The sequence below is a fragment of the Homo sapiens genome, chromosome 9 (assembly GCF_000001405.40).
Source record: "Homo sapiens chromosome 9, GRCh38.p14 Primary Assembly".
Classification (NCBI taxonomy): domain Eukaryota; kingdom Metazoa; phylum Chordata; class Mammalia; order Primates; family Hominidae; genus Homo; species Homo sapiens.
The window spans coordinates 79,355,254-79,369,526 of record NC_000009.12 but is presented as its reverse complement, the minus strand read 5'-3'; the positions used below and the strand labels follow the sequence as shown (position 1 = coordinate 79,369,526).

The window sequence follows — 14,273 nt, the reverse complement described above, 5'->3', positions numbered from 1 at the left end:
TCCCATGTTATCCATGGGGCATACGTTCCAAGATGCCCAGTGGATGCCTGAAACCTCGGATGGTACTGAATCCTAAATATGCTATGGTTTTTCTTACATGTACACACCTATGATACGTTTAATTTATAAATTAGGCACAGTAAGAGACTACCAACAACTAATAATAAAATAGAACAACTATAACAAAATACTTTAATACAAGTTATATGAAGTGGTCTCTTTGTCTCAATATCTTACTGTATTGTATTCACCCTTCTTCTTGTACTGATGTGAGATGGTAAAATGCCTGTGTGATGAAATGAAGTGAGATGAATGATGTAGACACTGTGATGTTGTGTTAGGCTGCTATATTTATTTATTTATTTATTTATTTATTTAGAGATGGAGTCTGGCTCTGTCCTCCAGGCTGGAGTGCCATGGCACAATCTCTGCTTACTGCAGCCTCTGCCTCCTAGGTTCAAGTGATTCTCCTGCCTCAGCCTCCAGAGTAGCTAGGACTACAGGAGCACCACCATGCCTGGCTAATTTTTGTATTTTTAGTAGAGACAGGATTTCACCATGTTGGCCAGGCTGGTCTCGAACTCATGACCTCAAGTAGTCTTCCCACCTTGGCCTTCCAAACTTCTGGGATTACAGGCATGAGCCACCATGCCTGGCTTATTTATTTTATTTATTTATTTATTTATTTATTTTTGTTTACTCTAGAGACAGGGTCCTGCTCTGTCACTAAGGCTGGAGTGCAGTGGCACAATCACAGCTCACTGCAGCCTCCCCCTCCTGGGCTCAAGCAATTCTTCTGCTTCAGCTTCTCAGAGTAGCTGGGCCTAGAGGTGCATGCCACCATGCCGGGCTAGGCTACTACTGACATTTTGACAATAGTCAGAAGGAGAATCATCTGCTTTAGGTGATCCTGGATCATTGAGTGAGGAAGTCTCTGGTTGGATGTCAGCAGCAGATGACATAGATGACTAACAGGCAAATAGCACAGACAGCATGGGTACATCAAACAAGGAATGGTGCCTGTCCCAGGAAGGCAGAGTGGATAATGTGAAATGTCATCACCCTACTCAGAATGGTGTGCAATTTCAAACTTAATGAAGTGCTTACTGCTGGAATTTTTTGTTTAATAGTTTGGACCATGATGGACCCTGAGTAACTGAAACTACAGAGAGCAAAACTGCTAACAAGGAGGGACTACTGTATACCTATTTTACAGATGGGGAAATGGAGGCACAGCGTAATTATGTGACTTGCCCCAGATCACATACACATTCTATTGTTTGAGCTTGTTTTTTGATCCTTATGAAAATATAAATGCCCATTAGGGAGTAAATACTTTAAGCTGTTATCAGTCATTATTTCCTCAGTACTAATGAAGGTCAGAATGTGTCTGGAGAATATGTTGTGATAAGTCAGGCAGAGGAGAGGAAGTCCCAGCTCAATAGGCATCAGGGAATGACATTTAAACTTACATGCAGCTCACTCCAACATCCGTTTCTTAGTCTCTCATGTATGCTGAGGACGTGAGCATCAGTGGAAGGAGACGGGAGTATTTATGTCAGGCCTTCCCAAGTGGGTGCTTGTTTCCTAGACCCCAGGTATGGCATTTTATTCCTGTTGCTACCTTAAAGTAGTTTCTTAATGAAGGTAATACCCTGAGGATGGAGATGAGGATACAAATAATAATAACAGTGATTTGTTTTTTTTCCTGCCTCTTACCTTGTATTTCCTTAGCATTTTCATCAAATATTTTGGTTAGTACTTGTCCTAATACATATTCACTTATCACCAGACTATAAGTTCCTTGACGGCAAGGACCATGATTTTATTTCCTTTTTTTCCTTTCTTCTTCTTATTTTATCCCCTTCCTCCTTACCTTTGTCGTTTTCTTCCATCCCTCCTTCCTTTTTCCTACTAGGGAGGCCTATAAGAATCTATGTTGGAACTCAACCCCAGAGCCAGTGGGTTTTTAGTAGCAATAGTGAACCCAAAGCTCACTGGTTTACACTGCAGCCTTTTGTTCTTTATGTTTCTTTAAAAGTTCCATTGGATAATGGTTTTTCATATGGTTAATGTGCCACCTGCTGAGCTCTCCTGTGGACTTTTGCTTTGAATATTTTAGTCTTTTACTATGATTGGAGTATCACTTGATAAAATTGGAATTATTTGTTTTCTTATATTTGATATGTAAGATTTGTGTACTTTAATGTGCGTTAAAGTTTAATATTGTGGAAGAACATGACTCAGAATATCCCTGGTGCCAAGTCACAGAGATAATTTTGACCAGCAGAGAGCTTTCAGGGGTTGATTGGTGGGTGATGCCTGTTAATGATAGGAAAGACCCATGGAGGAAGATGAGATCACCAGCTGAGTGTTATGACTGCAAACATCTCCAAATTATTCCTCTTGATAATGGTCCCTAATGCTCATAGATGGAAAGATGTTGTTACGGTGATGGGATAATGATACTGCAATATGCTGATGAGTCTGGTATAATGATACTGCAATATGCTGATGAGTCCGACTTGTAAATACTTCTCTGAAAGCCTAGTCCTGTAAGAAGGGTGAGAGATGAAGAGTTATCTAGTCCCATGACTCTAGTGGAATATTGACCACATTTTCCTGATAACCACAAGGAAGCCAAAAGTACTTGGGTTCAGAAGTGGTGGGAGAGAGGTCTCATGGTTCCACTGATACTTACATAATCATTCATTTATGAATGAGATTACAGGAGAATACAATATAGGATGATTTGTACTTTGTTAAAGGATAAGCAAAGGTTCAATATACACCCATAGAATGGGCCTCGTGTACCTGCGGATGGGTTAAGAAAGGCTTCAGGAAGAAGTGATGTTTTAGATTAGTTCTGAGCATAATGTAGGAGTTTGCCAGGTAAAGGAGGAAGAATGGAGCTGGGAAAGATGTAACAGGCTTTGAAAGGGAGTTATAGAGAGTTTAAAATAGTCCTGAGAATCAAGTAATAACAAAGAATGAGAAGAGTCCTAGATTTAGCAATGAAGAGTTTGTAATGATCTTGGGAAAGTGTTCTCATCTTTGGAATTAAGAAAGGAAAGATATATGATAACCTATGAGGACTACATAGCCGATGAGAAAGTGGAGATTAAATTTTGTAAGGTTTACCTATGAAATGGATGATAGTGTTGGGGTGGTGATGTTTTTAAGGGAGCTTAAAATTTTGGAGTTATGCTTTTTATTGAAGTATTACATATATGCAGTAAATGAACAGAAGTATGATGAATTTTCTCAAAGTAACCATTCTCCAGACCAAGACATGGAAGGTTTAGCTCTTCCGAGGCCTCCCTCATCCTCCCTTTCAGTCATTTCCCAGTTCCCAAAGGTAGCTACTCTTCTATTGCCATAGACTGGTTTTCCTGCTTTCGGATTTTATGCAAATTGAGTCACATAGCATGCGCTTTTTGTTTCTGGTATTCTTAATCAATGTCCTGTCTATGAGATTCATCCATATTGTCAGATAGAGTCATATTTTGGTCTTTTATATTGCTGTCTAATGTTCTATTTTATTATTATTTCACACTTTCTAATCTACTGTTGATGAACATTTAGGCTTTTTCCATTTTTGTTTGCTATGAAAAAATAATGTTGCCTTGCAAATTATACATATCTTTTGTTAAATGATAGTATGTGTTTCTGGTGGACATATAGGCAGGAGTGTAATTGCTGGTTAAGAAGAGATGAGTGTATTCAGCTGTAGTAGAAACAGTCAATTGGTTTTCCAAAGTGGTTGTACCAATTTTTAACTCCCACTAGTAATATATATTTCATTTTCTCCACATCCTCACCAACGTTTGCATAGTCCTCTCCCACCTTATTTTGGCTGTCCTGGTGGGTATGTGGTGATATGTCATTATAGGGTTACTTGTATATCTCTGATGGATAATCATATAGGACACCTTTTTAGAAGCTTTTTGACCATTTAGATATCCTCTTTTATAAACTGAATCTTCAAGTCTTCTGCCCAAATTTAAAAGTTGGATCATCTTTCTGCCTTTCAAAATTATTTCGTAGATATCTTTTTTTACAATAAAAAATATTTGACTGCAGGCAACTGTTTCAAAGACTCAAGTAATAATGGGAACTAACATAGATTGTCAGATACTCTTCTCAATATTTAATACACATTAATTTACTTAATCTGCACAAGTCAACTCTGAGATAGAGACTGTTGCCATCTTCTCTCTTTTAAAGGTGGGAAAATTGAGGAATAGATATATTCCAATTCATGTGCCCAAGATCACATTAATAGTAAAGGTCAGAGCTGGGATGTGGATGTAGACAGTCTCCTCCTGGAGCCCTTGTGCTTAACTGCTATGCCACTGTGCAGTAGGATGCAATGGATGGAGCAAGCATCCTTAGAAAGAATGCTTGGGATCCAGAGCACAGATGGGAAAGTTAGAAAGGAGGAGAGACATGCCTAAGAGGTTAAGAGGAAAACTGAGAACAGGTGTGGGAATTCCGTGGATGGAGGGTGACAGGAAGCTGAGTGAATTCTCACTGGAGAGTTTTTATTCTCTTTAATCAAGCAGGAGGCAACATCCTGTGAGAAAGTAAAGAGGTGGTGAGAATTTAAGAAGAATGGAAAAGATTTAGATGGACGCTTTGGAAAATGGAATACTGACCCACTGGAAGGCAGGGAAGGATTCCCGGGCACACATGAATACTAATTTCAGATTAGAGACTACAAATCTACTGTAGGACTAATCTTTGTGCTTGTTTAATTGACACTAGCAGAGGTTAGTACCCTATCTTGCATCCCAAGAAAATGCTTTTGACGATTCAGGGTTAGATTTTTTTGCTTTCAGATGTATTGTGTGGACTTGAAGTTCAGGGAAATTTGGACTATTTGGAATAGGGACAAGGAGACAGTAGATATAGGGGTTGGGCTGGAGAGAGATTGGCATGCAGACAGGAGCGGCGATGGGGAAAGACGAAGGGTCCAATGACTTCAAATCTACATAAAGTCTGAATATCCATGGTAAATGAATGAGAGGGCTGGGAGGATAGGAAATGGTGATTGGAGATAGGATATTTGAAATTGTTCTTTCTCTTGTAGAGCAGTCTTGATAAGGCACAAAGAGTGATCATGGAAGTCCATGACTGAAGTGAGGGTGGGTGGGGTGAAGATGAAGCTCATTGAAACTGAGGAGGTCAGGAAAGAATTGAGAGGCCAGGTTGTTAAGTGGGTTGTCCATGGGGAAACTGAAGACACACTGAATATTCGCAGATGTTGGAGATAGAGGGGAAGATGTGTCCAAGTCTTAAATAAATGTGGGAATTGGCTGCGAGTTTTATGGGTGACTGTGAAAAGAGAGGACAAGAGATGAAAGAAGAGAAGTGAATGCTGCAGCCGAATGACAAAATGCAAAAGAACAGGGTTTAAAAATGAGGGTGGTAGAATAAAGCTTGAGAAGAAGTATAATATTTAACTCTTGGAGCTTGGTTAGCACAATTTCTGGCATATCGAAAGCCGCCACCAAACGTTTGTAGAAGTAAATTCAGAAGAAAGAGTAGGAAGAAGGAAACTGGAAGTGATCTGAGGAGAAGAAAGAAGAAAGTCAGAATGGAGGAAAGGCCAGATAAGTGGCAGACTAATTTCGAGAACAGATACATGGGCAGTCTATTCATTGATAATTTCCTCCTTATTCTGGTTTATTACTTTTCAGTGCTTTTAAAACAGAGATTAGAGAGTTCTAACGTATTCCTTTCACATCACATCACAGCAAACTTCAAAATAAAACATGTCTTATCACATCTTCCAAATTTGGGGCTTAATCTTACTAAAGACACAGCAGTGGCTGCAAGCACACAACAACTAATGCATAATGCATCAGGCACAGTTCTGAGTGCTTTACAGTATATATATATATATATATATATATTTTTTTTTAAGAGACAGGGTCTTGCTCTGTCACCCAGGGTGGAATGCAGTGGCGAGACCATAGATCACCGTAACCTAAAACTTCTGGGCTCAAGCAATCCTCCTGCCTAGGACTGCAGGTGTGCTACCATGCCTGGCTAATTTTAAAAATTTTCTGTAAGTCTTGCCCAGGCTAGTCCTAATCTCTTGGCCTTAAGTGATCCTCCTGACTGGGCCTCCCAAAGTGCTGAGATTATATATCTGAACTGCCGCACCCAGCCAGCTTCTTAATCCGTTAAAAAAATCCCCTCAAGAATGATTTTAGCCATTCAGTTCAGGAATTGATGTGATAAAATTGAAGGAAATACAGTTCCGTGTTGATCATAGGTTCTCAGCTCTTTTCAACACGCTCTCATATCAAGATTTCGATAGCAAGTTCAGAGACGTAAGTCAAAACTTGCTAGCACTATATTTACTATATTTCAAATAGCTTCCCACAAAGGTTTTTGTATGACCAGTGGTGCCCTTTTCAGTGACTTCCTGGTCACTTGTATGACCACCCATTTCAGTCTCACTCCAGAAAGCTGTGATGTTGATGAGGAAGATTGATATTACTATAGGAATGACTTTGAATTTTGTCTAATTTATAACAAAGAAAATTAACTATGTGTCAATTTTGGTGCTTTTACTCTTATTAGGAACATCACTCCACACAGTCACCACCCTGCTGCCAAACCAATTGGAACTCATCCATGAGTCTGTTACATGTTGGGGCTGTGTTAAGAGTATCTGCCTTAGGTCATTGACAACACAATACTTCTGTTTGCAGATACCTCCTCAGATCTTTTTTTCTAAAAAGGACAGGGATTGAGCTGGCAGGTAAAAACACCATCCTCTTGTCCTTTGAGGCTTTCTGCTACAGCACGTTCACTTTTGTTCTCTCTCGTTAAAAGTAATTAAATCCGTGGCAGATGAAGTTAATATGTGGCAAAATTCATGGCAAATGGAAATTCTTCCTTTTCCTGTGAACATAAACTCCTTTCTTCCAGCCTCATCCTTGTTAGGCTCCAAAACCTAGGCTGTTTTCATTGCTTGGCGCTGCTTCCTCAGACATATTTGTACTTGCCAGGAAGGTTTACCTGTCTCTGGCTTCGTATCAGATCACAGTAGGAGGCTTTAGCGGGGGCCCTGGAACTGTGGGGTGGAGCAAAGTGAAGAAAGGGGATTTTGGGAAGTAAAATGCTTGCTTTACTCTTTACCTCTGATGTGCAGCTTCTCCCAGTGGTACGCCTTCTCCTCAGTCAGGACTCTGGGCAGGACTCTCCCCTCTCCTTTGTCCTAATCAAACAGTGACTCAGTCGGGGATGTTAATGTAAACATGGGTATTCTTATTTCATTTCAGCACTGGAGGTGTCTCTTGGCAACACAGGGTCCTGGCGCCCTGATGGACTGAAAAAGCAATATTTATAAACCATTCTTTCCTCAAGACTTGCATAATGGAGCAGAGATTTTCTCTTATCAGTTCACAAAGTAGACTGCCCTTTCTATTCCTTGGCCTTTTGAATGATTTGCATTTGGGAATGGAATATTTTTCCAGAACCAGAAATCAACAAAATCTTTCTTTCTTTCTTTTCTTTCTTTCTTTCCTTCTTTCTTTTTCTTTCTTTCTTTCTTTCTTTCTTTCTTTCTTTCTTTCTTTCTTTCTTTCTTTCTTTCTGTCTGTCTGTCTTTCTTTCTTTCTTTCCTTTCCTTTCTTCGTTCTTTCTTTCTTTTTTCTCTCTGTTTCTCCTTCCTTCCTTCCCTCCTTCTTTCCTTCCCTCTCTCCCTCCCTCCTTCCCTACTTCTTTCTTTCTTTGTTTCTTTCTTTCTTTCTTTCCTCCTTTCTTTCTTTTTTTGTCATCAGTAGAATCCTTTCAGTGAAATATTGTGTAATATATCAATGTATTTAACTGCTGAAAACTGAATGGCTGTAATTGAAGTGAGGTGAGGGGTCTGAAAGCTACCCACTGGAAATGCCTGTACCAGACTGGGTATGGTGGTTCCTGCCTGTAATCCCAGGATTTTGGGAGGCCGAAGCAGGTGAATTACGAGGTCAGGAGTTCGAGACCAGCCTGGCCAACATGGTGAAACCCCGTCTCTACTAAAAATACAAAAAACTAGCTGGTGTAGCGGTGGGTGCCTGCAATCAGGAGGCTGAGGCAGGAAAATCTTTTGAACCTGGGAGGTGGAGGTTTCAGGGAGCTGAGATCATGCCATGCACTCCAGCCTGGTGACAGAGTGAGATTCCGTCTCAAAAAAAAAAAAAAAAAAAAAAAAGAAAAGAAAAGAAAAGAAAGAAAGAAATGCCTGTACCATCCCCTTCCGGCCATGGGGTCCCTAATACATAGATATTGAACCCCGTGACTTAGTGGGAATATGGCTGGGTATCACTCTTCTCATCTTTCCTGGCTATTTGTATAAGGTGAACAACATAATGGTCTCAGCAGGGGTGTCATTGTAGTTATCCCCTGGTAGCTCCTGCAGACTCCTGCTCACCTTTAAAGTGCAAATACATAAAATGCTTGTCTATAGATTTGGGAACAAGGTAACTCAGTCCTCTACCAAAGTGTGAGGACTGCTGAAAATGAGTCTTTACTTTAAAGTAGTTTGATCTTACAGCTCCTGGAGATAATGCCCCAGACAGCAGAAACAGACATTTTTGTTCAACGCACATATTTATTATATGTCAACTATGTGTTTATCATTGTATCAGGAATTCCTAGGTCCACAGAGTTATTTGGCACACTCTTCTCAAGAACCACATTCCTAAAATACTTTCATATCATGGCTAAGTCAGCAAAGGGAATCTGAAACATTAAGAAAAGTATACAAAGAAAAATAAAAGTCACACATTCTCTCACCAATCAGTAATAATTATTATTTCTTTCTAGTCTTATACAAGATAGATTCCCAGTGATAGAATTCCTGGTCAGGAGACATTTGAAGGAGGCATTTGGAAATACTGGGTGCTTTTTAAATCTATCACCAAGGGATCTACTTTCTCTCTTAACACACAGGATGTAATACCAGTTAACATCCATGAATACTTCAAGTCAGTTCTTTGGGCTTCTCTACAAGTTTAGTCTTTTCTGTTCAAATAATTTTTATGGCAACCATTTTAATTGTCCTATTCATCACGGCAATCATGAGCTCTCTCTTTAGGTTATATTTTCTATCATAATTGTATGAAATCTATATATGCTATAAGTAGCATATGCATATCCATGTTTATGCATACACATACTCAGAGTACAGACAAGAAGTCCACCTAAATTATTTCTCAGCCAATGCACTGCAGAAATCAGACAGATTTCCCCAATGACCTTCTTTGAGTGCTCAAGAAGAAAAGTAGAATATATATGTATATATATATGCTTTATACATACATTGATGAAATACCCTTTGCACAGCTTATGCATGTAATCAATAAATTCTTTAAAATGAATGCCAACTTCCTGACAAAAAAATGAATTGGCTGTCTCAGCTTCTGATTCTTTATCAAGTTCTGAGAAACTCACTTTACCTCTCTATAGCTCAGTTCCCCCTACTGGTTTCAAATGCATTCTAACTGCCCTGAATATAGATCCCAGATTTTCCTCACTGAGAGCAAAGCTCTGGAGTAGGAGTGAACTGCATGTGTAATTGAATCTCTGGTTCAATGAGAAGATTTCTAAGGAGCTTTGCTACGTGTGCACGTCATACTTAGCTCACAGAAATGTGTCGCGAATTTATATTATAGCTATAGATGCCCATGAAACAGAGTAGAAGGTTGAGATTAAAATTTAGTTTTCCTCCATTTTCACAGTGGTTTAAGTATTTCTATGTTGAAGGACACACAGCCCCACAACCAATATAACATTTGGCCATTTATTCTGTTTTTTCCTAACTACTAACCATTCTTTCTCCTCTTGCTGCTTCTCCTACTCCTCCTCTTCTTCCTCCTGCTCCTCCTCTTTTGCCTTCTGTTTTTCCTTCCCCTCCTCCTTCTTCTGGAGGTCTGGAGTTGTACTGAGCTCCTGAATTTTCTCTAGGTTTGCTTTCGATATTAGTAATAAGGATATCTAAAGCAGTCTTGTCTCAGTCGTTACACTAAAGATAAATGTTAGATTTCTTAGAAGCTCTTTTCTTCTATTCTCGAAGTGAAAGAGGAGATCCACTGACAGTTTCATCTTTACAGATGAACAATTATTAAGGTAAATCCTTGCATCTGATTCTTTTCACTGATCTCCAGAGACTATTCTCTTTGTGGAATTTTGGTTTTACCATTTCTTTATAGGGGTGTATTCAATTTCCCCAAGCTCCTCCTCCTTTATATTTTTAACAGAAAAGTATCAAATTCCAGTCAATATTTACCTTTTCAGGTGTATATGGAGAACTCGCATCTATATAGGGTGAAGGGTAACTTTGCTTTATAGACATTTCGTACTTAGAGAATCTGTCTAGACATTTTTCATCTCTGTATCTCTGTTGCCAAGATTAAACCTTATTCACCACGCTGGAAATAGATAAATAATAGAGCTGGTTTTTAAAAATCTGCAAAATTATTTAATTCAATATAGATTGGGAAAATTTGGAGAGACAGAGATAAGGAGTGAAAAACTCCAATAGATAATATCTGTAGCTTTTTCAGATAGACACATAATTTATGTTTACAACACAATTCATCATGAAATACTAGATGTTATCATGAGATGAGCTAAAAAATGTACAAGCAGAATGAAAGCTCACAAGAAAAATGCACATGCGAAAATTAATTATTATGTTGATAGTTTAATTATGGTCTATTGCACTTTATTAAAGGCTCTATCTGGTGATATGAATGTAGAATTTCTTTCCTGAGTTTTCTACTTACTTCAGTAGGCTGGAAAGAACATAAGCATGAGATATAATCTTTTATGTCTTTCTTTGATAGTTAGCAGATTTGTTCTTCTGTTTTGCCAAGGAGGAACTAAAGGAATATCAATAGAGTAATAATGTAGGAGGTGCAGGACTCTGTGATGGCCGCAGTCTGGTTCCATTGAGTCTCTTAAATGTTTCTGGGTTGAGTCTATTCCATCATCATTTGTTGAGACCTGCTATGAACAATGGCTAGAGTTGGACTGGAGAAGAATCAAAGTTAAGTGAGATCAGATCCTTGTCATCAGGAAACTCACAATTTATTGTAGAAAAGTAATTCACATCAAACTGCTTCTTGGGCTTGGTAACAGGTATCAAAAATGTACAAAGGAAATTCTGGAGAAGAGGTGGTTGAAGACAGAGAAAGCATTTTTTTGTTGAGGGAAAATATCATTTTAATAGTACTTGATCTTCTTCAATTTAAAACACAGTAAGTCCTCACCTAATGTCAATGGTTCTTGGAAAATGCAATTTTAAGTGAAACCAAGTATAATAAAACCAATTTTTTTCCTCATTAACATTACAACAAAGGGCCTTGAAGGAAACAATGTTATTTGAGGATCTGCTGTATATTATATGGCGTCAAGTTACAGCTTTCAAGAACCTATCAACGACATTGAGTACTTATTGTACTTTCACAAGCTTTTGAGACAAATTGGGTTTGTAGTATAGCTTGAAATAATCATGTGGCATCTTCCTTTAAAGGTGAGAAATGCCACTGATTTTGACTTTGGAGTGGAAAGTTTGGGATAAGAGATAGGAATCTTTAGCTAGAGGATAAGCAATCTGAGGCTGACCTGTGTAATGTAGGGCACGTGGGCCAGTGCCTTCATCTGTGTGGCACTGGCTGCTTCTGTTTCCTGTCTCGTCAGCAAGAAGTCGGGAATTGCTTCAGAGGCACACCAGAACAGTCACATTTCCAGCCGACCAGCTTCCCCTTTTCACAGCGCAACTAATTTGGAAAATCTGACAATTATCAAAACTGTCTTTTCAATATGGGCTGAGATGAAGACCATGTATTTATCTTAACAAAACTGAAACTGCATTTCAAATTCTATGTTGCATGGAGGCTCGCTCAATACACACCTAAACAAATAAAGGAAGGGAGATTTTCAGATCCCCACACCCGACCCACCACCTTTTTTTGTTTTGTTTTGTTTTCTTTACTTTTGATATCCTCTACCAAGGCCTTTTCTTGTTAATTTTGCCAGCTAGTTTCTACTTAAAGCTGACTTCCACGAAGATGTGTGTATTTGCGGGTCGGCTTCATCAAACATTCATTGTTCAATACTGTGACAGCTGGTAGCAGGCATACACACTCTTTCCTTGTTTGGTTTTCTGATAAAACCTGTCAAGTGCTGGTTGACTATAACTGAATTTGTCACCCTCTCAGCAAGGTTATACCTCTTCTTACTACGAAATAAAACAATAAAACAACATTTCTAACCCCTCTCTGCCAACCCCTCACAATTTGACAAGGAAATGCATGAAGAACAGGTTTTAACCAGACTAACACCCACAAGGTTCATTGTTGATGAAAAATTCTCACACATCTAAAAATGTAAGGATCACTCTTGTGAGCACTTGCTCAGGAGACAATGGGAGATGTTGAGAAGGTTATAGCAAAAAGGTACTGAGCTTGTGTGCTGTTCAAACTGAGCATCGGAAATCTGTCAATTCGGGCAACAAATCATCCCAACGAGATGTTTGGTGCCCTGCAGGCCTTCTCTATGAAAATCTTCGACTTCTCAAACTAGTTTATTGACATGGTAAAGGCAGGTGCTTAAAGGAAAACTGACAAAGTCTGTCTTCTATAGGATGTGCAGTTTCTAAAGAGGAGAGACTATAATAAATTTGGAGTTTGAATTTCACTTTTAGATGGAAAAAGAGATGAAATGTTTCACTGGGCGAAGTCATCCTTAAGCAGCTACTAGGCAGACCTATATGAGGGTTCTGTCTGCCTCATGTAGAAACAACATCATCTTCAGCCAGCTAAAATGTAAAGGTTTTCTCAATGTTTCTGTTATTTCCTGTCTTCTTTCTTTCTTTCTTCCCTTTTTTAGCTTCCTTTTTTTTTTTAATTCTAGAAAACAGAAAAACAAACAGCTGCCACACTTATACTAAGGACTATTAATATCAGATGAGTTGATTTGGCAAAGAAATTTTTAAAGTGTAAAGATCTATTCAATTTTTTAAGTTGACTATTATTATTTATGATTAGTCTGGGAAGAAAATGTCTTAGTGTGTTTAGGTTGCTATAATAAAATATCATAAACTAGGGGGCTTATGAACAACAGGAATTGACTTCTCACAGTACTGGAGGCTGGGAAGACCAAAATCAAAGCGCCAGAAGACTTAGTGTCTAGTAAAGGCCCTACTTCCTGTTTCATTGTTGGCCTTCCTTTCACTGTCACTTCATATGGTGGAAGTGGGGAATAAAAGATCTCTGGTTCTTCTTTTATTTTATTATTATTTATATTTTGAGACAAAGTCTCTCTCTGTTGCCCAGGCTGGAGTGCAGTGGCATGATCTCGGCTCACTGCAACCTCTGCCTCCCAGGTTCAAGCAATTCTCATGCCTCAGCCACCCAAGTAGCTGGGATCACAGGTGTGCACCACCATGCCTGGCTAATTTTTGTATTTTTAGTAGAGACAGGATTTTGCCATGTTGTCCAGCCTGGTCTTGAACTCCTGACATCAAGTGATACACCCGCCTCAGCCTCCCAAAGTGCTGGGTTTACAGGCATGAGCCACTGCGCCTAGCCATCTGGTGCTTCTTTTATAAGGATACTGATCCCATTCACGAGGAGGGCTCTGCGCTCATGACCTAATCACCTCCAAAAGGCTCCACCTGCAAATACTATCACCTTAGGAGTTAGAATTTCAACATATGAATTTTGGGGGAACATAAACCTTCAATCCATCTCATTAAGTATTAGTCACAGAAACAAATGGTTCAGAGGTGGTTTCATTTTTAACATGGAGACTGGTCTGGAGAAAGGCTGAACACGAAGTATGAAATTATTTTATGGTAATGATACAAAGAGTAATAACAACAATTACTGTTTTAGGATGGCAACAATATCTGCAGATAAAAGTAAACCCAAATATCTCAGGAACTTAACACCATGGAAGCTCATCTCTCGCTGATGTGGCTGGGTTTGAGATGGTTGCACTCCATCCATCCTTCAGAAATGGAGGCTGAGCCATCCTCAGTGCAAAGCTCTGCGATCATCCTAGATGTCTGCCTTCAGCTGACAGATTGTTGAGGAGAGAGTGTGGAGGAAGTTATGGAAGTTTATATGGTCCATAACTGGAAATGGTGAGCCTTACTACTATGTATACTCCATCAGCCAGAACAGTCCATCATACATTTACATGCAATAGCAATGGGGGCTGGGATATAGAGTCCAGCATCAGGCCCAAGAGAAAGGGGAAACAGG

The 14,273-nt window shown here is 39.2% G+C and overlaps 2 annotated features.

The window, feature by feature from the left end:
* Window positions 6,934-7,489: an enhancer, noted in NCBI's record as "OCT4-NANOG hESC enhancer chr9:81976953-81977508 (GRCh37/hg19 assembly coordinates)". NCBI's record gives its function as "activates a minimal SCP1, AML or CMV promoter by ChIP-STARR-seq in naive H9 embryonic stem cells {active_cell/tissue: H9 hESC(naive)}" and the evidence as "EXISTENCE:reporter gene assay evidence [ECO:0000049][PMID:30033119]".
* Window positions 8,041-8,932: an enhancer, noted in NCBI's record as "OCT4-NANOG hESC enhancer chr9:81975510-81976401 (GRCh37/hg19 assembly coordinates)". NCBI's record gives its function as "activates a minimal SCP1, AML or CMV promoter by ChIP-STARR-seq in primed H9 embryonic stem cells {active_cell/tissue: H9 hESC(primed)}" and the evidence as "EXISTENCE:reporter gene assay evidence [ECO:0000049][PMID:30033119]".